General features: G+C 42.7%; 1 protein-coding gene across 2 annotated transcripts; it reads right to left on the bottom strand.

Moving 5' to 3' along the window:
* Nucleotides 1–272: 272 nt before the first annotated feature.
* On the bottom strand, nucleotides 273–25,939 carry RPS4Y1 (ribosomal protein S4 Y-linked 1). Of its 2 annotated transcripts, none has more exons than XM_047442742.1 (7): nucleotides 25,568–25,939; nucleotides 25,299–25,376; nucleotides 23,284–23,464; nucleotides 21,798–21,895; nucleotides 12,770–12,941; nucleotides 2,296–2,453; nucleotides 273–748 (listed from the first exon to the last, which is right to left on the bottom strand). In XM_047442742.1, exons 1-7 carry the CDS (start codon nucleotides 25,595–25,597, stop codon nucleotides 647–649), a joined length of 819 nt encoding a protein of 272 aa, XP_047298698.1. In that variant the 5' UTR covers nucleotides 25,598–25,939; the 3' UTR covers nucleotides 273–646. The 2 variants fall into 2 exon arrangements, with proteins under 2 accessions (XP_047298698.1, NP_000999.1); NM_001008.4 differs by having other exon boundaries at nucleotides 25,914–25,939.
* Nucleotides 25,940–26,586: the final 647 nt, after the last annotated feature.

Raw genomic sequence — 26,586 nt, 5'->3', positions numbered from 1 at the left:
TAAGAAAACCAATATCCAAAGATCCTATAAATACGACATTAAAGTGACAATCCATGAGAATAAGAGGTTACTCTAATGGGCCCCCCTTAAGTGGAGAACCATTGCTGAATGGGTCAAAGAAAGACCAAAGACTCTGTATGTGAAGGACCTGACCTGCCACTGCTGGCTTTGAACAAGATGGAGAAATGGGACATTTAGGCAAAGAATGCACATAGCCTCCAGAAGCTGAGAAAAGCGCTCAGATTGTCAGTCAGCAAGGAAAAAGGGACCTCTTTCCTACAGCCACAGGATTTAATTTCTACCAATAATGTGAACAAGCAAGAAAACTAAGACCATCTCCCATAGCTTCCACAAAAGAATGCCGTCCTTTCTGAAATGTCATACGTTTTTTGTACTTCGTTTTGGAATGCTACTCCATCACTCTGCCCACAGAGATGGTGTGGGTAACATGTATGAGGGAAGCAAAGGTTTATTTACTGGAGGGTCAGAGGAAGTATAGGTGGTATTCCTAGAGATCTTAAGACAGTGCCAAAATCATGAGCAAATTCAAACCCTACTATTATCCACAAGGGGGAAAAAACACATTAAGAAACGAGAATTCACTGTTTATTTGTGCAAAGAAAAAAAGATATGCTGCTACTGCAATTTAGCCACTGCTCTGTTTGGTGGCCAGCCTCTTATCTCTCTCTTCAGCAACAGTAAGTCGAATGCCCTTTCCCCTGGGCAGGGAAATCCAAGGTTTATTGCCCTGCAATAGAAGAGGAGATAAAAGTAAGTACAGAAAGAAAGGGAGGAGAGAAAAACAACATCCCACCAAAACACACATGCCTCATACCTTCCTTCACATTAATAGCCAGCTAACAGACCACCACCCAACAAAATCTAAAACAAAATAAACACTTCCTTATACATGTCTCCTGAGAGGTTATCTGCCTCTCACAGTCCCTCCCACTCCTCACTGCTGAGCTGCTAAATAAAGGTCTTCCTGCTTCTATTTTATGTGAAGCAATCAGCCAACAAGTTTTTCATAAGCATCTTTAAAGGCAAGGCCACTAACTTCAGGTTCTCATAGTTTTGAAGTTGTGTACTGTCAGCACCCTATCATCAGCTTTACAGAACTTTTACATGCATTTACTCACTTCCCTGATCCCCTGCTTTCAAAGGTATAAACTGAGGTTTCATAATTCAATACTGAGAAGAAGAATGGCCCAACTATAGAGCTTCTGAGTGGCACAGCCAAAAAAACAACAGCAGGCTTCGCCTCTGTACCACTTCTCTCAAATATCCTAAGGACTGCCAGGGTACAAGTGAAAGATGCTGCTCCCGGGGCTGAATAGCTTGATGAAAAGCTTTTCAGTTGGCCAGGCGTCGTGGCCCACATCTGTAATCCCTGCACTTTGGGAGGCCAAGTTGGGTGATCACCAGGTCAGGAGATCGAAACCATCCTGGCTAACACGGTGAAACCCCGTCTCTACTAAAAATACAAAAAGAAATTAGCCAGGTCTGGTGGCGGGCGCCTTAGTCCCAGCTACTCGGGAGGCTGAGGCAGGAAAATGGCGTGAACCCGGGAGGCAGAGCTTGCAGTGAGCTGAGATCGTGCCACTGCACTCCAGCCTGGGCAACAGAGCAAAATTCCGTCTCAAAAAATAAATAAATAAATAAAAATAAAAAGCCTTTTCAATTATGTCCGTTGCCCTTTCCTTAAGTCTTGGGGCAAGTGACTCCCATGTAAGGATACTGCATGATTTCAGAGGTGCTCCTTCACTGAAAAGGTCTCAAAAGATCCCAGAGCAAGATCATCTTGAACAAGTAAACTAACAAGTGTTACGTGCCTTGTAAATGCCCTTATTCTCAAATTAGCAACTCACTCATAGCCCCCTTGCATCAATCTCCATCAACTCCATGTTCACTGATGAACTGTAAGATGGAGTCTCAGAGGGGTTTAGCAGACTCACTTACAAAATTAAGGGGGCACAGCACTACCAGGATTGGAGCCAGTGACCTTAATCCAGCCCATACCAGTGATGTAGCCCTGCAAAAGTTGCAAGGCTGAGTTTAACTTAATTTACTGAATGACACTGCTGGCATCTCACACAGACCACCTGAAGAGGCAGGTGTAAGGCTCTAGATCTAATCTTGTTTCTTCTCAGAGGCTCTAAATAGAGAGCTTGCTGCACTCTGTGAACCTTAACACTGGAAAAAGAACAAACAGACAAACACCAGTAGTGGATGCAGGTCTTTATGCTTTTTAGGATGAGTCTTCTTAGAAAGAAGTAAAGAGAGTGTAAGTCTTACATTGCCAATGACAAAAATGTTGGAAAGCCTCGTGGCAAAGCTGTTGCCATTGGCATCCTTCACATGCACCACATCAAAAGAACCAGGATGTCTTTCCCTGTTGGTGATCACACCAACACGACCGAGGTTGGCTCCACCAATCACCATACACAAATTGCCTAGAGGGAAAGGAAAATAAACAGGAGAGGAGTCATTTTAAAACCAGACGGGCCTGTTGCCTTTAAAACAAATTAACACACACGGGCTCACCAGGAAAAAAAAAAATGGAGCATCATCCCAAAATTGTAATTTCAAGAACTCTTGTCACTGTAAACGAATGCTATTTGTGAATTAGATTGCAGTCAGCATTTAAAGGCAGGCCCCTGATGATTTTTCAAATCATAAGCTTTCCCTGCATTGTTTGTCCAACAATAATTCTTCAAAGGTTGAATAATCATTTTGGGGTTGACAAAGATGGCATGGAACAGCACTGGGTAGGGTGGATGGGTAGAGAGATAAGGAGGATGACTGAGAGGGAGGGAGAACTGGAGAAATTCAGGCTATGAGAAAGACACTAGACAATAAAGAAAGGCCTTTAACTGGATGGCTAGCTAATCCAGTCTTTCAATGGGGAATCTTTTAAGGGCTCTCAGGGGACCCCTGGAGGAATACATTTGTTTCAGACATCTAGAGTTATTTTTGCGGGACATAACCATCTAATATAAGTATACTATCTAGGACACAGGCTACCTTGTCAAGGAAGTTCTACCTATCACAGAATAAACATGTTTTAAGAAAAACTTTCCCTCAAACCACTGCTAATAAAGACTCAGCCACAAGTCCTCTTTTTTATGTGAAGACACATTTAAAAAAAAAAGGAAAAAGGACACATCCTCTTTTTTTAAAGAAGACACACCACCAAAGCCAGAGAATAAAGCCCTGTCTTAATACTAACAAAACAAAACACAAACAAGTAACCTAGCCTAAAAAACTCCAGGATAAATTTGAAATTATAACCTATGAATCAATGGCACAAACATATTACACTTATTGATCTCTCAAAAACTGATGGGAAACAGAAGAACCCAACTCAATCTGAGCATCTTAAAGATGAGGCTCTAGGATGCAAGAAAATTACAATTATCTCTAAGGTAAAAATTGCTTGGTCTGACAATGATCAAACAGATTTCTGCAGTTTGACCCTTTCTACCACAAATACATTGGTTGATCCAACATGCAGATTTTTAACAGAAACCCAAGGCCAGCTGCTTATATGTGTTTTGACATGGTGAGAAGCCATAGGAATTAAAAGGACCAAAGGTTTTGCCTCAACATTAGCAACTGTACTGGAGAGTTAGAGAAATGATTTGAAAGTAATTTTGTGTAAGATGGTATGGATACCCACTAAAGTCACAAGAAAGTACCCACAGACCTGTATCTGAAAGATAACAAAATCACATAAAAGGCCCAAGATTTTGTTTCTTAAGTCAGTGTACTTGGCCAGTCCTTTAGGGTCCTTGTGGCAACTACTAAGACAGTAAACGAGCAGCCCCTAACAACCTCAGTTACAAAGAACTTTCTTATACTATACTTTACATTAAAGTTAAGTTAGGTTTGGAGTTAAGGAAGGTTTGGATAGAAGCACCTGCTCAGTAACAAAATGCAGGGCTTGAGCTAGCTGGTAAGCAGAAGATAATCCCGAAAAAGCGGTAAGATGAAATGTCAATGAAAACTTACTATTTTGCTCAAGACTGAATTGCAGAGCCTCCTTTAAGAGAAAATCAGTACTTAGGCAAGAGTAGCAGAAATGCCTTGCAATGCTTATGTCAATTAAAAGGTGCACCAAGTTTTTTTTTAGTTCATTCTCCAGAACCCTCATGTGGGAACACTATGGACTTAGTATGCATAGGGAAAAAAACAGAGCTAATTATGGTAAAATTCAAATTGTTAATAATAGTTCCTTCACTTCACTTGTTTGTCACTGCTTCTAAAAGTGAAGAAAGGCTACAAATTGATGAAAACATTGATTCTTTCAAGATGTGTTAAGTTCCAGTAAAAAGCCCCTGACATTTAGAATGGTGCCTACTACGGGCACATTAGTAAATGGAGGTTGAAAGCGGAGACCCTTCCCATGAATCACTATTTTATAATTCTTGAATGTGTCAGCTCTATTCTTTACGTCTATCAGACAACTCCCAGGAAAACAGACTGAGTGCAAACTAATGTTGACTTTTGTTGTGGGACACTCCTTTCTTTTTGATGGTCTCACAGGGACAATAGAATAGAAATCAAAGCTCCGGGTTCAGTCTCCAGGTGAAAACAGCAGACGCTTCCCATAATTAGCTGGACCCCAAAGGCAAAACCCTCACAAACACCTGAGCCCAAAACAATCCTTCTTCCTAATAACTTAAAATCTGAAATTCACCCTCTCTGGACAGCCAGCAAGGGAATCTCAAGTCTTGATCAAGGTGATCTCACGCTGCTAAGACAGCCCAGATGCCAGACAGAAGGAAGGCAGAATCATCTTGATCGCATAGTATTCTTACTAACAGTACTTTACATGTAGTGTCTAGCATGGAAGGAACTAAGACACCATGATAAAGACCACCACCCTCAACATAGCACAAACCAAATGCAGAACTTGGAACTGCCTTAAAAGGGTGTACAAGGATAAAAGAAAACACAAAACATAACAAAACTAATGTAAATCAACAAGAAGCCCACCTTTGCAGAGTAACCTAGCGGATTTGAAAATCAAACAAATAATGAAAAATGCGGTTACCAAAATTAAGAATGGAAAGGAATGGGTTTAATGAAACATGTCTATAGTTAGTTGAAGAGAGAATCAGAAAAATAGAAGGTGCTGAAAGTAACTGCTCATGATGCACCATGGAAAGACAAAAGGATGAAAAATGGAGAAGACTGGACAAGTAGGTCTACTGTGAAAAGCTCTAATACAACTTAAATCCAAGTCCCAAAAACTGAAGTGAGAGGAAGGTTATGGACAAAGCAGTATGTGAAAACAAAATTTTCTACTGCAGTGGATCACAGCTAGGCATGGTGGCACACACCTATAATCCCAGCTACTTGGGAGGCTGAAGCAAGAGAATGCTTAAACCTCAGAGACAGGGGTTGCCGTGAGCCGAAATCATGCCACTGCACTCCAGCCTGGGTGACAAAGCAAGACTCTTGTCTTGGAAAAAAAAAAAAAAAAATGCCAGGCACGGTGGCTCATGCCAGTAATCCTTGCATTTTTGGAGGCCAAGGCAGGCAGATCACCTGAGGTCAGGAATTCAACACTAGCCTGGCTAACATGATGAGACAACCCTGTCTCTACGAAAAATTACAAAAATTGCCAGGCACTGTGGCTTATGCCTGTAATCCCATCACTTTGGGAGGCTGAGGTGGGAGGATCACCTGAGGTTGGGAGTTCAAGACCAGCCTGACCAACATGGAGAAATCCCGTCTCTACTAAAAGTACAAAATTAGCCGGGCATGGTGGCACATGCCTGTAACCCCAGCTACTCGGAGGATGAGGCAGGAAAATCGCTTCAATCCAAAAGGCAGAGGTTGCAGTGAGCAGAGATGTCACCACTGCAGTCCAGCCTAGGCAACAAGAATGAAACTCCAGCTCAAAAAAAAAAAAAAAAAAAAAAAAAGACATACAGGGATGGGGGTGGAGCAGGGTATATGAGACAGTTGTTACAACAGCAGAGAGGCCATAGTACCACAGACAGGCATCAGGCAAAGCAAGAGGTTAGGGGCTTCAGAGAAGCACAGCCAAGAAAGTACACATGCAAGCCCTGAGATGAGATTCCCAAAACCTCTAGCCTGGCTGACTGGTGAAGGTCATACTCCCTGTATGAAGATACATAGGGAAGACTGGAAGAGATGGCTGTTTTTCTTTAGAAAAATAAGCCTAAAGAAACGATGATGTATGAGTTACCAGACAAAAAATTCAAGCTAACCATCTTAAAGATGCATATCAAACTAAGGAAACAGCTACAAACAAAATCAGAAAAACAACCCATAAACAACATGAGAATTATCAACAATGTAAAGGAAACCCACAAAAAAGGATCAAACTCTGGAACTGAATACAATTGAACAGAATTTAAAAATCACAGGTCCAGAAAGAATCTGCAAACTTGAAGACAGGCCACTGAAATTAACAAGTCAGAGGCGCAAAAAGGAAAAAAGAAAAATAAAGGTGAGCCTAAGAGAGGGAGTAGCAGACACCATCAAGAGGAACAATATACAAACTACAAGAGTCCTAGAAGGAGAAAAGACAGAAACAGAGAAAATGAGAACAGGATTTGGGGGAAAGACAGGGAGGGGCAAAAAGCCTACTAGAAGAGAATAATGGCCCAAACTCCCCAGTTGTGTGAAAGAAGATGGACATACAAATTCAAGAAGCTGAACTCCAACTAGGATAAGCCCAAAGCATCAAGAGACAATATAATCAAACTCTCAAGAGTCACAAAGAAAGAATCTTGGAAGCAGCAAGTAAAAAGTGACTCATCATTTACAAGGGAGCTCTTGCTAGATAAGCTATAACTCTGCAATCCAGAAGACAGTGGGATGACATATTCAAAGTGCTTAAACCAAGTGACAACGAAGAGTCTAACTATAAAAGAGCCAAATATGAGCGACCATGGCCCATGACACAACCCTCAAGAGGAGGCCCTGAGAACATGTAACCAAGGTGGTCAGGGCACAGCTTGGTTTTATACATTTTAGAGAGGCATGAGGCATCAATCAAATACATTTAAGAAATACACTGGTTTGGTCAAGAAAGGGCAGGGTTGGGGGGTTATCAGGTCCAGTCTATTGGTGAATTTAAACATTTTCTGGTTGACGGTTGAGTTTGCCTGGGATTGGTAAGAAGGGAAAGGGAATGCTCAGGTTAAGATAAAAGATGATGGAGACTGAAGTTCTTCTGAAGTCTTAGGGAAGTGGTTGCCCTTAGAGACAATAAATGACCAATGTTTCTTATTCAGATTTTAGTTTATCTCTTTAGGATTGGGAGGGTCTGGAAGAAAAAGATTTATCTATTTTAATAGAGATTCTTTACAGATGCAGATTTCTCCTCCACTCCCACGAAGAGCAGCTTTGCAAGTCCATTTCAAAATATGGCAAACATGTTTTGGGGTAAAATATTTTTATTTTCTTCATTGTCTCGTAATGTTATCCCAGAGTCAGACTGGAAAGTAAGTCATGAAATATAGGGTTAAATAAAACCCATCTGATGATGAGTCATGCTCATTTGTAGGGCGTAACTCTCCAGATCCCTTAGATAGGGATTTGGGTAAGATAATCATCAGGGTTTAGTCCTCACAAGAATACCATAACTTTCAAAATGAAAGAAAAAATAAGACCTTCCAAGGTAAGCAAAAGCCACTAGGCTGGCCTTACGAGAAATGCTGAAGAAAAGCACTTCAGGATGAAACAAAAGGATGTCAGACACAAAACCATATGAAAAAAAGAAAGAAAGAAAGAAAATATAAAGCTTTCTGATAAAGGTAAATATACAGACAAATAGAGAATCCTAGATCACAAAGGTGTATAAATCACTTTTAAGTCTGGTATAGAACTTAAAACACAAAAGCACATCAATAACCATAAACCAATGGTAAAAGGATACACAATAGAAAAACATTCATGTGTGCCATCAATAACAAAATTTGTCTGAGGGGATATGGAGATGCAACTGAAGGTAACAGTTGAAAACAGACTGTTTTCACTTTAAGATAATTTATGTAATCCCCTTGGTAACCACAAAGAAAATAACCATGGAAGACACACAAAATCAGAAAGGATTCAAAGTGTTCTTTTATTTTTTGTCACTATAAAAAGTAAAGAGCAGCAGAGCACAAAAAGGCAGGTAATAAGGGAGAAAAAATAGGTATAAAATAGCTACAGAACATACTGAAAATAATTAACAACAGAGCTATACTAACTAATGCCTTCCTTAACAGCAACTATTTTGACTGTAAAACAGATTAACTCCTCACCCCAATCTAAGGACACAGACTAGCTAAATGAATAAAACCAGCCAACCAACCAGTCAAGTTACAACTATATGCTGTTAACAAAAGACCGGTTTCAGATTTAACGACACACACAGGCTGAAAGTGAAGTGCTGAAGTTGATGTTCCAGGCAAATAGTAAGCAAAAGAGAGCAGGGGTGACCAAACTTGGGTCAGACAAAATAGACTATAAGTCAAAAATTGTCACACAAGACAAGGCAGCTCAAAAATGCTTATGTTACAACAGAAGAAAGACCTCAAATGAATAGCCTAACTACATTACAAGGAACTAGAAAAACAGAATAAACCCAAGGTTGGCAGAAGGAAGAAAATTAAATAAGACCAGAGCAGACATAAAAGAAAAAAACAGTAAGAAAAAAGAAAAAAAACTAAGGGTTGATATTTTAAAACAGATTAACAAAAACTGACAAAACCGAAGTTGAGCATGGTTGACTCACTTGGATAACACACTTCCTAATTTGAAAACAAAATACAAAATGACAGTAATTCAACAGTGTGATACTGGCATAAAAGACAGGCAAACAGACCAAAGGAAGAAAATAGAGCCCAGAAATAAACCCAAGCATATATGGCCAAATGATCTTCAACAAGGGTGCCCAGACCTCTCAATGGAGAAAAGACAGTCACTTCAACAAGTGGTGCTGGTAAATCTACGTCCCCATGTAAAGAAACAACATGAGAATACCTTACATTACACCATATACAAAAACCAGCTCTAAACAGATTAAACGTAAGGCCTTGAACTGTAAAGCTCCAAAGACAAACACAGAGACCACAAGCTTCATGACATAAGAGATATAATTTCCTGGACATGACACCAAAAGCAAAACCTGACAAATTTAAAAATGCCTGCCAACCAAAAGAAACAATCAGTAAGGGTGAAAAGGCAACCTATGGAATGGGAAAAAACATCCACAAATCTTACATCTGATACTATCTAAAGATGTCCTACAACTCCACAATACCAGAAACAACCTAGCTAAATACTGGACAAAGGACATGAATAAAACCTTTCTCCAAAGACATACAAACACTCAAAAAGATGTTCAACATCTCTACTCATCACAGAACTCCAAATTTAAAAAAATAATAATGAGATATGACCTCATACCTACCAGGATAGCCACGAGAAAAAAAAAAAGAAAATATATAAAAAGCAAACAACAGCAAAGTGTGGGAAGGAATGTGAAGAAACTGAAATTCTTCTACACTGTTGGTAAGAATGTAAAATGGCAAGGCTGCTATAAAAAAACCGCACAATGGTTTCTCAAAAATTTCAAAACTATCTCATCCAGCAATGCCACTTCTAAGTGTGTATACAAAAACATCCAGCAGGATCTGGAAGAGTTGTCTGCACCGCTGTGTCCCCAGCAGCATTACTCACAGTAGCCAAGAGGTGGAGACAACCCAAATGTCCATCCACAGAGGAATGGATAAACAAAATGTGGTATACACACCCAACTGAGTATTACTCTGCCTTAGAAAGAGGAAGGAAATACTGGCCAAGTGCGGTGGCTCACGCCTGTAATCCCAGCACTTTGGGAGGCCAAAGAGGGTGGATCACCTGAGGTCAAGGGTTTTGACTCCAGCCTGGCCAACATGGCGAAACCCCATCTCTACTAAAAATACAAAAATCAGCTGAGTGTGGTGATGGGTGCCAGAAATCTTAGCTACTCAGGAGGCTGAGGTAGGAGAATCACTCGAAACCAGGAGATGGAGGTTGCAGTGAGCGGAGATAAAGTCACTGCACTCCAGCCTGGGCGACAAGAGTGAAACTCTTTCAAAAAAAGAGGAAAGAAATACTTTCACATGCCACAACATGGATGAACCCTGAGGACATGACGCCAAGCAAAGTTAACTAGTCGAAAAGGACAAACACTATCAATTCCACTTATTAAGACACCACCCAAAAGAGTCAAATTCACAGAAGCAGAGTGGTATGGTGGTTGTCAGAGGTTGTAGAAAGGAGAAAGTGGCAAAGTTGGTTAAAGCACATAGTTTCAGTTTAACAAGATGAAAGAGTTCTGGAGATCTGCCACATAAGAATGTGAATATAGTTAACAACACTAACGAACTGTACACTTAAAAATGGTTAAGGTGGTAAATCTCTGACGTATCTTTTTTTTTTTGAAACCACAATTAAAAATTATTTAAGCATTTAAAACCAAACAAACCAAGAACTACAAAAAAACCTTTGCCCTCACTCAGTGGGTTTCTTGTTACTAGGAATATTGGCTTTGTCATTCTGAGATTATTTTATGTACACTCCCAGGACTAAACTAAGTAAACTAGTAAGTAATAAACAAATAAGCAAAAAAATTAATACCAAGCATGTTTGTGTAAGACAAAGGGATATATATTTCAAATAAAGTTAGGGCCAGGGCGGTCGCTCACACCTGTAATCCCAGCACTGTGGGAGGCCGATGCAGGTGGATCACCTGAGGTCAGAAGTTTGAAACCAGCCTGACCAACATGGTGAAACCCTGTCTCTACTTGGGAGGCTGAGGCAGTAGAATCACTTGAACCCAGGAAGCGGAGGTTGCAGTGAGCCGAGACTGTACCACTGCACACCAGCCTGGTCAACAGAGCAAGACTGTCTGAAAGCAAAATGAAACAAAACTCCCCCAAAAACAAAACAAAACAAAAACAAACAAGTTAGGTGGGGGAGAAAAAAAAATCTGTTGAATTTTAACTGGGAATTTGATTTAATAAACAAATGAGATACAACATATCATTTCATTGGAGATAAGAAGTCCACATCCATTTTAAAAATTATTCTCGGCTGGGCACGGTGGCTCACGCCTGTAATTCCAGCACTTTGGGGCGCCAAGGTGGGCGGATCACAAGGTCAAGAGATCAAGACCATCCTGGCTAACATGGTGAAACCCCGTCTTTACTAAAAATACAAAAATTAGCCGGGCATGGTGGCAGGCACCTGCAGTCCCAGCTACCTGGGAGGCTGAGGAAGGAAAACGGCGCAAACCTGTGAGGTGGAGCTTGCAGTGAGCCAAGATCGTGCCACTGCACTCCAGCCTGGGCGACAGAGCAAGACTCTATCTCAAAAAATTAAAAAAAAAATTATTCTCAAAGGTATGCAAACGTTTGAGAGACAAGCATAAGATGCTCCTACCTACCCACTCTCCAGCTTCGTAACATTTTTAAACTCCTGGCCAGCTTTGATTCATCTTTACCTATGCAGTCCTGCGCTGGATCACTTAGAAACAAATGGCCAGTACCAAATCATTAGAACCTGAAATATTCTCACAAGCCACTCGAAAATCTAAGTAACTCCGCAAATGTTTCTTAAGTGTGTTCCAATATATACATTTTTTCCTTTGTCCCTTTACCCAAGTTTGTCTTCATTCTTTGACAAGAATACTTCCTGAATGTAAGTATTCCTGCTATTACTTCCTGCTATTACTAGGAGGTGCATGATATCTGGTTATCTCTGTGGTCACACTGAAATCAAACAACAGGTTTAGGTATCACAAGCATGACACATCCTGTTTAATATCCCCTCTCAATATTTTCCCCTAATGGGAAGCCCTCTCAACTTTCACAGCGAAGAAACAAACATTCTTGGCTAAAATTTTCAGGTCAACAGTAAATAACAGAAGTGCAGGCAGCACAGGTACAAGGTCATAGTGGTCAAACAATCAGACAACCCTAGCCTGTGGAGTACTCAACTCAAGACAGCCAGCCTAGGTTCAAACACCAAGGCAACTGAGGACTTTGGCTAGGTCTTAAATCAGAGTCCAAGTGAGGACTGCGGGGGTGCCATAAGCAGGTAAACAGGGAGGGCAGATAAGCAACAGAACAAAATCAAAAAAAGCAACAGAAAAAAAGTCACTGAAGAATGGCACAAAAGGAGTTGCCATTGTTTGTTGTCCCTGACCTATTCTTTCAGTGTTTCTGCATGTCTAAAAATTTCTGTTAAAACAAGTCAGGCAAAATATTTTACTTCCTTAGCTGATCAGGTATTAGCAAGCACTTGGGTATAAACCTGTCAGGAGTCAGAGCCTGAGGTGTAGGGAGGAGAAACAAAGCTGTAGACACATCTTTTTCTCATCACTAGCTTAAGATTATCTGGACAACTTCAGCCCTTCACCTCAAGGAACACAGCTAAACTTTATCGCATTTAAAACAAAGTTCCCCTCTTCTGACAAACAGAATGGACACAGAGTTTACATAGCTATGGTTTACATTCTTGAATGAGGCTGGGCTACTGGAGATAGCCCAAAGGGACATCACACCTCTACTCAACATCAAGAACCCACTGCAAACCCAAGAGACCATGACACAATATGCTCTTAGAGAAAACCAAATGTGTTTTAGTTCTCTCTAATCATAATGGGTGTACAGACAAAACAGAAGAATAAAATAGAAAGAAAAAGAAAAGACAAAGAGGGAGGTGGCAGACAACACAAGGGAAAAAAAAAACTTACCTGTATCAAATTTGATAAAGTTGATTATCTTGCCAGTCCCTAAATCAATCTGCACAGTATCGTTCACCTTGATGACAGGATCTGGGTAGCGGATGGTTCGAGCATCATGAGTCACCAGGTGAGGGATTCCCTTCACTCCCACAGTAATCTTCCTCACTTTGCACAACTTGTACTATAAACACAGCAAGGAAAATCAATTCAATATGTAAACACAAAGCCAGCCTAAAGCAGTCACCCAGACATTACTTATCCCATCGATTTCCAGCATTTCCTCGGTCAGAGAAGGAGTGCTCTTGGGAAAAACTATATTAACCAGTCACAGAGCTGATGATCTCCCATACTGATTTAGTAATTTAGACATTTGGGAAACCTTGCCAAGGGGGAATCTGTTTCAGAACCCTCTGGTGGCTGCTGGAAGAGTGCTCAGCTGAACTAACCTCTGGTCCTTTATCACAGGCTAAAAGCCTGTTGCCTGTGTATCTGAGTGGTAACACACAATCAACTGGTATATCATTTTTTCCTCAGGGACATATTTCCAATTGATAGTCCTCAATGGGCAACTCTGGAGCGGTGGTAACAAAGAGCCCCAGAGACAAACTTAACTCTACCACTACTAAGAACTGCTAAGAACATGTGGCTTTTGCCGGGTGCGGTGGCTCATGCCTGTAATCTCAATACTTTGGGAGGCCAAAGCAGGCAGATCACCTGAGGTCGGGAGTTCAAGACCAGCCTGACCAACATGGAGAAACCCCGTCTCTACCAAAAATACAAAATTAGCCCGGGTGGTGGCACATGCCTGTAATCCCACCTACTCGGGAGGCTGAGGCAGGAAAGTCGCTTGAACCCGGAAGGTGCAGGTTGCAGTGAACCGAGATTGCACCACTGCACTCCAGCCTGGGCAACAAGAGTGAAACTCTGTCTCAAAAAAAAAAAAAATCATGAGGCTTTTATGACCAGGTTAGGTAAAACAGCTGTCTCGGCCAGCTACATGCTTTCTGTACACAATGCTGCTCTTCCTCATCTCATTTTTAAATGGCACAACCCATTAACTACTTGCTTTATTCCTTGTTTAACACTTACCACTCTGGTGTTGCTCGTGACATCTATCAGCAGGAGGAGTTCAAAATGTCTCATACCAAGTACATGTATCAGCCCAAGAGTTATCCAAGCCCCATTTTGTTCCAGAAGCAATTTTCAGGAGATTCAAATGGTACACTATGTAATCTCAAACAAACATAATCCATTTATGGTTGCCAATGCCCATCCTACATACCACAGGCTCCCCATGGACTGTCACCGCTCAGAAGTGACAAAGTGGGTTTTCTTTCAGCTTTGTTGGGAGAAAAAGCTTATAAAAGTTAAAAGATATTAAAAACTCCACATTTAAACTGAGTACAGTCCTCTGAAGTCTCAGGACAAATTCTGGGTAAATATGAAAATGACAAGGACAAACAGAGTGCCAGATGACAGAAAAACTCCCTGAAAAGATGACAGAAATACTCCAGAAACTGTACAATAAATGAACTCGAGGAGCCACTTTTTTGTTTTTTAATCAGCTGCTGCATTTCCTCTCTCCCGTATCTTTGGGCTCTCAGGACTAACTAGGTTTGCCAGCTTCTCTCTTATCACTGCTTTTAACCTGCCTAGGAGGTGTGGAAAGAGACACAGTAAGTAAAGTAACCAGAGCTTGGCTCATTCTCCTATAAAAAAGGCCGAAGTTGAAATACTGTCCCCTTAAGCTTCAGAGGTGCAAGATGGGAATAATTATTGCACACTACTACATCTTATAAATTTATGAGATAATGGAACATAAAGGACCTGGCAAAGCAGTAAATGTCAGCTAATATTATTTCTGCTGCTACTATAGATTTAACACCATTCAAGGTGCTATGGAGATGTGAGGCCATTTAATATAAGCCAGCAGTCCAAAAAGGTGACAAAGGCTCCTATTCCACATGTGGAACTTAGGCCACATTAACTCCCCAGTTAAGGTAAATCTGGAATTCATCAGCCTGGCATATCCAAGCCCACTTATCCATGTTAAGGCCTGGATCCTATGCAGTCAATCTAATGAGAGCACGCTCTTCAAATCAAAACTTCACAGTTGACACACCCCTCCAGGCATTCTCCAATGAGTGTTCAGTTTGTTTGCCACCACCACCTCATATTTACCACCACTACTAATAGAAACTCAAGATCATTTCCAGCTTTCCTGGCCAGTGAGTTAAGCAAAGAATTGAAAGCTGCGTAAGTTCCCTGATCAGAACTGCCTACTGGACCAACCAACTGAAAACTTCAGAGACTATAATTCAGAAGTCAAACATAAATGTAGAAATTGAAGAAACTCCCAGATGCTGCATGCAAACATACCAATTAAAGCTCTTAAAAGAAAAGTTGGAAGCACTTCAAGGGACAATTAGGCTGACTGAGCCCTTTTCTTCCAAAAGGAAAAGGAAAACCACATCCTCCTTTCCGGCTGCCCTGCCACTGTGTGTACCACCCCCAAATTAACTTTAGGAATGCCTTTGGGTCCAGAACTTGGCCCTAAAGGACAATACATCAGAAACCTGCTTGCATACAAACAAAAAGGCCACAGTGTGTAAAACTTTTGTTCTACTGCCTGTCATAGTAAGGCACAGCAGGACAGAAGCCCTTTGAAAGTTTGGATGGAACTTGGAGGGAGTGAATGGTGGCAGAAGGAGAGCAAACCAAACACAGTGCAAACCAAGGTGACTATAGGAATGGCCCCACCACCCAGCGATGTAAGTACTTGGCCATCCATAAACAAGTGTAATGAAGGTAATGTGAATGTGTGCAGAGGCAGGGTAGGGGGTGCTGTCATTAAGACACTGAATACAACTTGGCACATTCCTTCCAATCAGGTATAAACATCCCCATAAGAGAAGACAGATCCAATATGCAACCAAATTCAGCAGATAAGGTTATGTACCAGAACAGAAAATCATCAAGCTGTGGTGCTACAGTAGGCAAAATACTTACGTGAGATGAGGCAGAGGGAGAATATGGACACAGACACAGAGTGTCCAGGGTACTGAAAGGAGGTTCACTAAGCAGCCAAGCAGAACTGCCTCAGACAATAAATGATATAACAAGGGCACAGAGGGATACTAACCTGCCCAACCTCAGGGTGAATACATGTGGATGGGGTATAATATGCCTATCAAAGCCCATTCTTCTCTTTGCCCTCTAATCTAAAGTGGAAAAGTACGAAGCTATAGTCCATAAGCACCAAAGCAGTGGGCTAAGATTCCAGGTTTGTTTGAGTCTACGGTAAGTAAGGCTAGAGGTGCTGAGTAAGCAGACAGAGAAAACACATTTTCCCCTTATACCTCCCGAAGCCCTGGGACCAAACCATAAGAAAGATTACACCACTCAGTATACATTCTGCAACCAGTGGAGCCAGACTTAAAAACAATCTGTCAACTTCACTCTTCCATCCTCATTTAAAAGAGTAACTTGCACTTTACCTTTAAAATGTGCTATCCAATCATCAGTACCAATCCAGTGACCACTTACTAATGCAGTGTTACTTTAACCAACCTAGGGCTACTAGTGGGCATTTTCAATCTCTCCAGCTCTACTCCACGCTAGATATAAGAAACCCTCTGGGCCGGGCGCGGTGGCTCACGCCTGTAATCCCAGCACTTTGGGAGGCCGAGGCGGGCGGATCACGAGGTCAGGAGATCGAGACCATCCCGGCTAAAACGGTGAAACCCCGTCTCTACTAAAAATACAAAAAATTAGCCGGGCGTAGTGGCGGGCGCCTGTAGTCCCAGCTACTTGGGAGGCTGAGGCAGGAGAATGGCGTGAACCTGGGAGGCGGAGCTTGCAGTGAGCCGAGATCCCGCCACTGCACTCCAGCCTGGGCGACAGAGCGAGACTCCGTCTCAAAAAAAAAAAAAAAAAAAAAGAAAGAAACCCTCTGTCCCTGATAACCAGAGAAAGAACTCTGAAATGCAAGCTCTCTACCTCTGCCCCTCCAACTTCATGAAGCAAGTCTTTGCATCACGGCCTGCTGAATGCATTCCTATCACCCAACTGTCCTCCACATTTTTTGTATGTGACATCCTGAACCTACTTGGGTGATTCTAAAACATTTCCAGTGAAAGTTAATCTTGTCCCTTTTCCACCCTGGCTCATTAGCTCCAAATAGCCCAGGTAAGACAGGTCCAAGCAAGTTCTATGACTGTGAACTCATAGAAGGCCTATTCACACCTCAAAGCCTACCTGCTGCCCTCCACTTTTCATGTACATCCTGTCCAGTGTACTCTCTCAGCTGAGCTGAGAACAGTGCTAAGGGAGTCAAAATAGTTAGCAGGTACTGCTGACAGTCAGGAGAAAGACAGCAAAAACAAAACAAGTAAAAACTTTTTCTTCTCCTATATCCTCCACAGATCCTTTCACTAACCAACAGTTTCTGCATGGATAGCAACAGCACCATGCAGTTCACTGCTATATCACAACATCAAACTTGAAGCCTTGTGCCCAAAGGTCCTCGGCCTTTAACTGCACATGTGAAACACCCTCTGAAAAAAGACATGGCCTCTTTCTTTAAAGGTGCCTCCAGTTCCAAGTGGCCTCCCTCCATCCTGTGAGATAGTTCCGTCTGGAACTGTTAACCCAAGCTTCACGATGCGTGTCGGTCCTTTAAGCATCCACAGATGACTGTGAAATACAGATTACACTTAGCAACTATCTATAAGTGAGTGAAATGCCTGTAAGCATGCTAGCACATTAACGGGTAACAGTTCTGTGTCTAACCTCTATACAGAGCTGACTGACCAGGTCTCCAGTGCTTCAAGACCAGGACTAAGGCAGGCTAAAAACTTTTGAACACTTTTATTAGTGGGAGTGCTCCTGCAAAAGCCAACTTTAGCAGGCTTTCCTCACATCCACCTCAGACGACTTTTATTACCTATGCACCTTCATGTGGCCAAAACAGCTCAGGATTTAGATCTTGGGTCCTCTCGCTTAGTAGAGGCCCATCCTGCCAGGAAACTAGAGGTTCACTAAGGGTAAGACTGGCCATATCATGAGGGGAACTTCCAGTTGAGCTAAACCTCTTACCACAGGGGTAGCCTCAACATCTGCAGAAAACCAATTATTTTTCCTCTGTCCCACAGCTGAAAAGACTGTCTTCAGATTTTAAAGATGTGACACCCCATCACCTTCTGTCCTCCAGCCCCAAGACTCCCAAAGACTGTAGGGCCCTCTGAGTCACCACTGGCAAGTGAGAAAGGCACAACAATGACAGCAGACAGGAGACTGCTCTGAGTTCAATCCTTAGTTCCTAGTATGGGGCTCAGCCTCTATGTGGTAAAGGAATCAGAGTTCGGATTGAGTCCTGCAAGTAGGCAGGCTCAAAGCCACAAAGGCAAGGATACAATGGATGAAAACAAAACAGTATGAGCTGAAGGATGCCAAACCAACTGCTTATAATAAAATGTCTGAGACAAAAGGAAATGTCTGAGAGAAAAGGAGAGGGTTGGGAGCCACGGAAATAAAAGGTAGCTGAGCCTAGGTATATGTAAGCCACGCATATCTAAGCAAAATGCTTAGACAGGGTAGCCTCCAGAATGTGTCAGTTTCTGAGCACTCTCAGAGACAGAAGTTTGGAGAAAAACAGCCATTGAAAGGAACAAAATAATGCCTTTTGCAACAACATGGATGGACCTGGAAGCCATTATTCAAAGTGAAATAACACAGGAGTGGAAAACCAAAACCCCTATCTTGCTATGAGTATGCAAAGGCATACAGAGTGATATAACGGGCTTCAGAGACTCAGACGAGGGAGGTTGGGAGGGGGCCAGAGACCCAGATGAGGGAGGTTGGGAGGGGGCCAGGGATAAAAATAACTACACATTATGTTCAATGTACACTACTAAGGTGATGGGTGCACTACAATCTCAGAACTCACCACTGGATAATTCATCCATGTAACCCAAAAAACACCTGTATCCAAAAAAATTACTGAATTTTTTCAGATTTATTTTAATAGAAGAACTACAGAGAAAAAGTTTATTCTTAACTGTTGAATAGCACTCTACCACAAGAAAACCTCAACTCTACCATCTGTCTGCTCAGCAGTCTTGACCAGTCATAATTTGTAATTACATCACCACCTACTACAACATGCCTGCCCCATTGACACCCTTTCCATACAATCTTGACTGCAAGGTGAAGCCTCCTGTCATTCTCCAAAATGAATGTCAAATGTGAGGCTCCCCTGAGAGCATTCTACGCTGTCCCTCTCAAACCACAGATAAACTCTTCGCTTCAAGTTTCCACTGCCCTTTGTACAACACCTACACAAACTAGTATGAAATCTTTCCCAGCTGGCCTCCCTCAGAAACAGATCTAACTGCCCAGGTTCCATCTTTTCTGAAACTTAAACTTCAACTGCCTATTCCCTCCACCTGTCTTCTTCCTTGCCCACCAAAAAGGCACTAGTCTCCCCACTCATGGTCTTGATCATCTCCTTTTGCACCAGTCTCCAATTCTCTAAAACAAATGGGCAAACATCACCCACTATCTCAAAAGAAAATCCCTCTTTCTGCCTCTTTCTAGTCACTGTCCCGTATCTTCTACTTTGAGAATAACTGTCACCTTTATGAGATTCAGTCTTCTCAACGTTCAAGAATGGTAATCCATAAACCCAAGTCTCTGTTTGGTTGGTTACTCTGATTTTCTCTTTTTGATTTCTTTAACCAGTATTTTCTACTTTTCAGGAAACAGAACCTGCACCACCTAGACCCTGTTCATAAACCTTCTGCAATATGAAATCTCCCTCTCCCCATACACACCTATCACTGAACACAAGCTGCCCAGTATCAATGAGGTTTCTGTGCCAACTATTCAGACAGCATCTACTGTAACTCTTTTGAGCAGTGTTTCAGTCCTCTATTTCAGTCAGCACTTACTTCTGTCTTATCATCTATTTGCAAGTTGCAAGGCAAGCTGAACCCAAAGCATTAAGGTACTGTCCTTCCATCCACAACTCTCTCAAGCATCCATGTATTTCACCAAGATCTGCAGCTACCATCTCCTTATCCTACCACCAAATATTCAATCACCCTGTTCCACATGTGCTTCCTCCACACCACAGCTGGGGATGTATATTCTAAACCCCTGTCTTCTTTGCCATCTTCCAGGTGATACTTGTGCTCTCTACCCCCACTCACAATGGGAACAGGCACTGCCTTAGTTCCCATTACTCGTGTGCAAGTTCATCATGGGCTCACCCAAACTCTTTCTTTTTCTCCCATCCACTGTAATGGCAATCACCCACAAAAACAGACCTAATCTCCCATTCTTAAATCCAGTGACTTCCATTTCCTTGGTCTTCAACAACTAATACCAAGTTGTTACGGGGAAATATTATGTCTGAAATCCATCAGGCTGTTTTCCCAAGACCCACAAAATACCACTTTTCTAGTCTTATTTTCAAGGGTGGAGGGCTGTTTGGATGTTCTGTCTCTCCACTAACCTATGCTACCTGGTGGATTAATAAACTATGAAAAGGCTCCCTGGTGTGTCCCTGACATAACTGACGTCCCAGGAGCCTCTGATTCTCCACTCTGAACTCGCTGTGTCCTTGGCTCAAGCCAAGCTAAACTGGGTGGGGTTTGTGACAGGGAATGCTCCCTTCCAGCTGCCCAAAGAAACAACCAGCAAACAAATAAGCTCAATCAAAACTTCCCAAGTCTCTCACCTGTTACACAAGGATAAGGCCAATACCGTAACCCAGGGCAACCATTTGGCACTTCTCGCTACTATGCGATAGTCTCCTGGACACAAGGTTTTTACACCCTGGCTGGCCAATCTGGTAGGGCCAGTACTAGGTATTAACAACACTCCAGTATCTCCTTGTCCCACTCCATCTCCCCCTACTTAAAAATTCACAGGGACTACCAATCTGCATTGTCTCTTGAGATCCAAATTCCATACAAAAGCAGAAACCAGTCATCAGATTTGATTTCCTCTGTGCTTTCTACCTTTTAGGTACAAAAGAATCCAACACCCTACGCGACTGAACACACTGCATGATTCAAGGCCTAGTTCCTATCATCTAAAACAAAGTACCTCCTGTGGGCGAATCCACAAAAACAGAATGGACCCTGCATCAAGGGACACGACCAAATAAGTCAGAAACAACCAAACAACCGATATTTGTCAATTCCTTTAGGGACTCTAATGTGTTTCCCCCAGAGAAATAACAGAGAAAAAGGCAAGCTGGTTAAACTAAGTAGAAACAACATCCAATGAAACGTTGTGATTCACTTACAGAATGCATCTCATATTCAGATGGCATCTGGTCACTGTAAGTGATTGGGTCATGTGAAAAACAAAGTCACCCCATGACCCTAAATCCAGGGAAAAGAGGAATGGATGACTGAAGGGTGATCCTGGTTTCCAAAGAGGTCTTCCCTACACAGAAAAATGGAAGGTGCTGTCCACACAGAAAGCAACTCCCTTGAAAGTTTCCTTGAAACTTCAGCCATTAAATCTGGGGAGGGAAGAGGGAGTTTTAAGGGCAGAGGCAGACATCAGGCAGTCAATCATCTTCTATGTCTAGCAAGTGCAAGGCAGCACTACTACTAACATAGTCACAGAAACCTGGCAGGAAAGCATATTATCACCATTTACAAGGAAAACAAAGACTCAAAAAAGGTTCTATGTACTGTTGCCTGCAGTTACACAATTAATCAATGACAAGAAATCTGGATTTCTACCCAGGCCTTCCTGGTCAATATCACAGATCTTTCCTGTACAGAAATATCTTGTCCTTCAGAGAACTCCTTACTTGTAATCCCGTTTCTAAAACAGTCTTGTGTGGAAAATCCATTACTTTCTATCAGTGTGCACCTACATGCCTGGATTAAACAACCAGACAAACAAGTAGAGATAGGAAATATTCCCGGAATCTGGCTTAAACACCCTCTGACAAACTTAGCAACCGACCTATCTGTCTGGAAATTACAAAGCTCACTTGACTTGTGCAACATACCTTTGCCTCTTCCACTGTGATGCGGTGAACAGCAAAACGGCCCTTGGTGTCATAGACCAGGCGGAAATGTTCACCTGTCTTCTCGATGCTGATGACATCTGATCACAAAAGGGTATAAGGAACATCGTTAACACAAACACAAAGTTTCTTTTGCCTGCACAGCAGGAACACTCTATGCCAGGTTGAACCTGAGAACGTTTTAGCAGCCTAGGAGTCCCCAGGGCTTGGCGGAGGTGCTTGAATGAAACCAACCAACCCCTGCTCCTCTCCCAATACATGTCATCCAACAAAAGAAAGTGAATACATTTATGGCTGCTCTATTGCTTCCTATGTTCTTGTGCAATAGCTGCTTGAGACTGTGTGCTGGGTTAACGCACTCAGGATCCTGAGGAGAAAACATACATGAGCACACCCACAAATACCAGGAAACCAAATGAACAAGCAGACCTCACATTTAAGCAAGCAAGGCTCCAGGCTCAGCAGGCTGCCCAATCAATGTCCTGGCCCCATTTACGCCCTCCATGACTTCGCTTATCAGGAGTCCTGCCTCACTCAGGATTTGGGGTTTTGAGAAACAAAGCAAAATGCTAAAAAAAAAAAAGAGGAAGGAAGGAAAGTAAGAAAAGGAAGGTCTGTCTTTTCTAACTCAGTGGCTGGATCCTAGGAATGTCCGGCCTGGAACCCCATCCACTCGGTAGCATCCACACCTGACAAAGTAATCATCCCCCTGCTTTCTGGACAATGCTAGGCTAAAAAGCTGTACTGAGCCTTTCACCATGAAAAGGGTGAACAAAGCACTAGGTCAGAATTCCTTACCTTTCCCTACCTTCCCTCTTGGTACACTTTTTCCCTAGAGGTGTGTGACCCTTCTGCCCCTCCTCCACCCTCCCCGCCAAAAAAAGCTGCAAATCCATCCTTGGAGATCCAGAATAGTTAAGTCATCAACGAAGTGGGAAGACAGAGCCAAAACCCTGTTCACTGACAAAGATTCTCTCCTTGACCAATCGTTAGCCAGTTTCCTCTGAGCCCTCTTCTTGGCTAAGCTTCAACCTTGACCTATGAAGACCTCAACACTAACACAGCTTCTAAAAGCTCAAGATGAGCCCAGTCTGCCTCAAAATGCCTGCCTGAGAAAACTCAAGGCTGCCAAAAGAATTTACTGTTTGTTCCAGCCAACACCTAAGGACAGCTCCTCTGTCTCCCAGTCTCTGCCGGGAAGGTAGGAGCCTAACTTTGATAATCCGCCAGCATGCAGCCACTGCTGGCCTCATCCCATTTACATTATCAACCCCTTTCCAGCTTTTCACTTGAGCCTTGCCACTCCTCTCCCTATCCCTCATTCTCCTTCTGAAAGGACCAGCAGTAACTTCTGCAGAAATCTGAAGTTCAGTGTCCAGTTTTATCACTGGCAACATGAGAGCCCTACATCTTGTCCTTCTCTCAACCTGTTCCTTCTTCAAAACAAAACAAAGAACTCTTTCCTTACCCATGAATCCAGCAGGGTATGTGACATCCACTCGAACCTTGCCATCAATTTTGATGAAACGTTGCATACATATCTTCTTTACCTCATCTCCAGTCAACGCATACTTGAGTCTATTCCTGAGGAAGACGATCAGAGGAAGACATTCCCTCAGCTTGTGGGGACCTGTCGATGGACGAGGTGCCTGTAGAAGACAAGGAAAGGTAACCTAATCTAAGAAGATCCACTCCTTATGTAACCAGATTGAGCAGATGACGTACTTTAGTTCTGCATAAGTTCAGCTGAACTTAACTTGTTGTGGGGAAGAGGAATACAAGAGGGCAATTATTTTATTAGTTTAGAGGTCTGTCTTGTTAGGAAGGTCATATCCCCAACCATGGAAATCTCATTTTGTGCCCCTTCCTTCCCCAAATCTAGCCTCACAACCATCTCCCCATTTTGCCCTGCCCCAAGCACCACTGCCACTCATACTCCTTCTTCAAACCTCCCTTGAACACAACACTACATCCCATGTATCTCAAGTGTAGCTTACGCTTTACCCAAAACCTTATGAAGACATATTCTACTACTCTCTCACCATGCCAGGCTTCAAAGTTCCACACAAGCCCTGCCGATGTTGCAGGACCACCCTGTAATACCCAATGTGCGTTCCTCCTCTCTTGGCTGCTTGCCGGCTTAAGTGTCATCAAATTCACACCGCAACAAATCCTGTAACCTATACTCTCGCAGTTTTGGTGTTATACTGTCCTTAGGATATCTGCTACCAGTACATATAAAAGTCTCAAGGTCTGTCTTGAACACCACTCCCCAATTACCTTTTAAGTTTGGATCACACAAGAATCTCTTCCAATGGAGACCGTTCAAGCTGCTTCTACAGATCCCTCTCTAGCTTTGTCTCTCTTAAAACGGACTCGCGATCATTAACCACACACTTTCATCAATGTCACAGGGAAAAGGAGAGGAACCCACAAGACTAAGGGACCAAGTTCCCAGCAAGTCTTCTTAAAGAGTGCCTTGCTCATCCACTTAACAATAGAGAAAACAATGGCCCATCCAGGGAGGTCAAATAGTAGGTGACAGTAGCAGAGGTAGCACTTGGAAGCAGAAACTGACAGGGACAGGTTGCAAATCCAGGTCCCCAGCCAACACACTGCCTATGTTCTCTCTGAAAATATCAGAACAAGGAAGACAAGTTTCTACTACTCAGTGTTCAGAGTTCAAACTGTACCAAGAAGAGGCCAAATCAAGTTAGTTACTAAGTGCCTCCTAAATGGAGACCCTCAGAGCTAAATATAGTCTCTTACCACATTTATTCCTGCTCAAAAAACCCTTGGCATCTTAAGCGCCTCGATTCTGTCTTCTTCACACTGGCTCCTCTCTGTCTCAGAAGACCAAGACTTTACAGTTTTAACCACTCTCTCCTAGTGTGACCACACCATCAATGTGGAAATTGCCTAGTCTCCTTGTGAGATGCTTGCCTACTGTGCCTCTGAGTATACTGCCCTCATCCTGCCAGGTCTTCAAGGTTGGGTTCAAGAGCCTCCAGACTTTCTCACACAACTTCTTGCCCTTGTTTCGTGGGCTCCTGTAGCCTTTACTATTAAACCAGTAACTCGGGCTCAACGTAAAAAGCAGCTACTCCACCCTCTAAAACAAGGGGTAACTTTAAATTAAACGCATTTGATTATTAATGGGGGACTCAGCGGACTGTCACTGAACTCCTTTCTTATGTGGAATTGGACACATTCATTAACCCACCCAGCTCTGGGCTCAGGAAGTGCCCTCTGAAGTGGCGAGCTAAAAGAGCAAAGGAAACCATCGGGACGTGACATCCTGGCCCTTTGTTGCACAGAAAAGTGCAAGGACAAGTTCAGGGTGCGGGAAGTCTTTACCAACGAAAATCCCACATAACAAACAAGCAAACGCCGCCCCCAAGAAATACCGAGCCACAGGTATTTAGCATGCACTCTTGACTAAAAAAAACAAAAAAAAACCACAAAAAACAAAGTTATACTCACAAATACACCCGTTAGTTTGTCAAGCATCCAATGCTTCGGCGCTGCAACACGCTTTAAGTGCTTCTTGGGGCCCCGGGCCTGAAAAGGACACGAAACTCAGAGAAATTAGTTTCCGCTGACAGTGAAATGCCCTCATCTTCAGCTGTAGGAACTGCTAACGGGTAATACCTGACTCAAGGAGAAAAGATCGCCCAGCCCATACTCAAGCCCCGTTTTGAACAAATATTACTTCCTGCCAGACCCCAGAAGAGACCACGCAAAGCACAGACCTTTGAAAACTTGGCGGGTCTCCCTAGCATCCGTCAAGAGAGCGTCCACAGTGCTCTCCAAGCGAATCTGAGGCTGCTTCAACGTGTGAAAATAAGCTAATCCGGGTAAAAAGCCACTGCCGGGCTGCGTCAAGGATGGACTCACGTGACGGCCCCCAGACCGAGCACAACGAGACACACTCTTCTCAGACCTCCCCTCTCCAAATCGGGTTTCCTGAAGCAGCACCAGCAGCATTCCCACCCACCAAGTAGGGGCGACCGAAAAGTGAAACATCGCCAAGGTAGAACGGCCCTTTTTCAAATGATGGAGGCAGATATACTAGGAGTTAGGAACTATCGGTCTTACCATGGCGAAACTCTGCGACGGAAGAGAATCTGTTCTTTTCCGGTGCAACCAAAGTCTGTTGTCGTAAACCGCAGGAAGTCAGATGAGTGAGAAGTTTAGTTCCGGTTTCTTATTCTTCCGCTGTAGAGTTCATATCCTGGAACTGAATTTCTTAGCATTTTCAGTTTCTGATACTGATTTACAGGTGTCAGTTATGCCGCAGGACTTTTTGTTGTGCCTACCCCCCGTCAAGTTGGCTGAGCTGGGAGGACGCAGTTTACACTCTTAAACTTATCTTTCGCCGACCTTCAAAATATTTAGCAAAAGTCCTGAAACAGCACGATTTAGGAGCCTTAAAAAAAAATGCCAATCGTGAGAAATAACCTATATGATTCCTTGTGACTGTGACATGCTGTGATTGCAAAATCATGATTTGTTTCAGAGACAAATCATTCCTTGTTCAGGATTGGGGCCAATTTCATAGGTTTGGGAAAGTACTAAAATCGTCTGTACCGTAAACATTGAAAGGATAGGTTTCATGGCATTTGAATTTTAAGTCGAATACCTTGCTTTGGATTAGCTCGTGATGATGGCTGCACAGCTCTGTCCATGTCGTAAAACCTGCAAAACAATTCACTTTTAAGAGAGTGAAGTCCGCTATGTAAGTTGTACTGCGCAGGCGTGTGTGTGGTCA

This window comes from Homo sapiens, chromosome Y (assembly GCF_000001405.40).
Source record: "Homo sapiens chromosome Y, GRCh38.p14 Primary Assembly".
NCBI classification, from domain to species: domain Eukaryota; kingdom Metazoa; phylum Chordata; class Mammalia; order Primates; family Hominidae; genus Homo; species Homo sapiens.
Note: the sequence above shows the minus strand (reverse complement) of the source record. Positions and strands in the feature narration are given on the sequence as shown.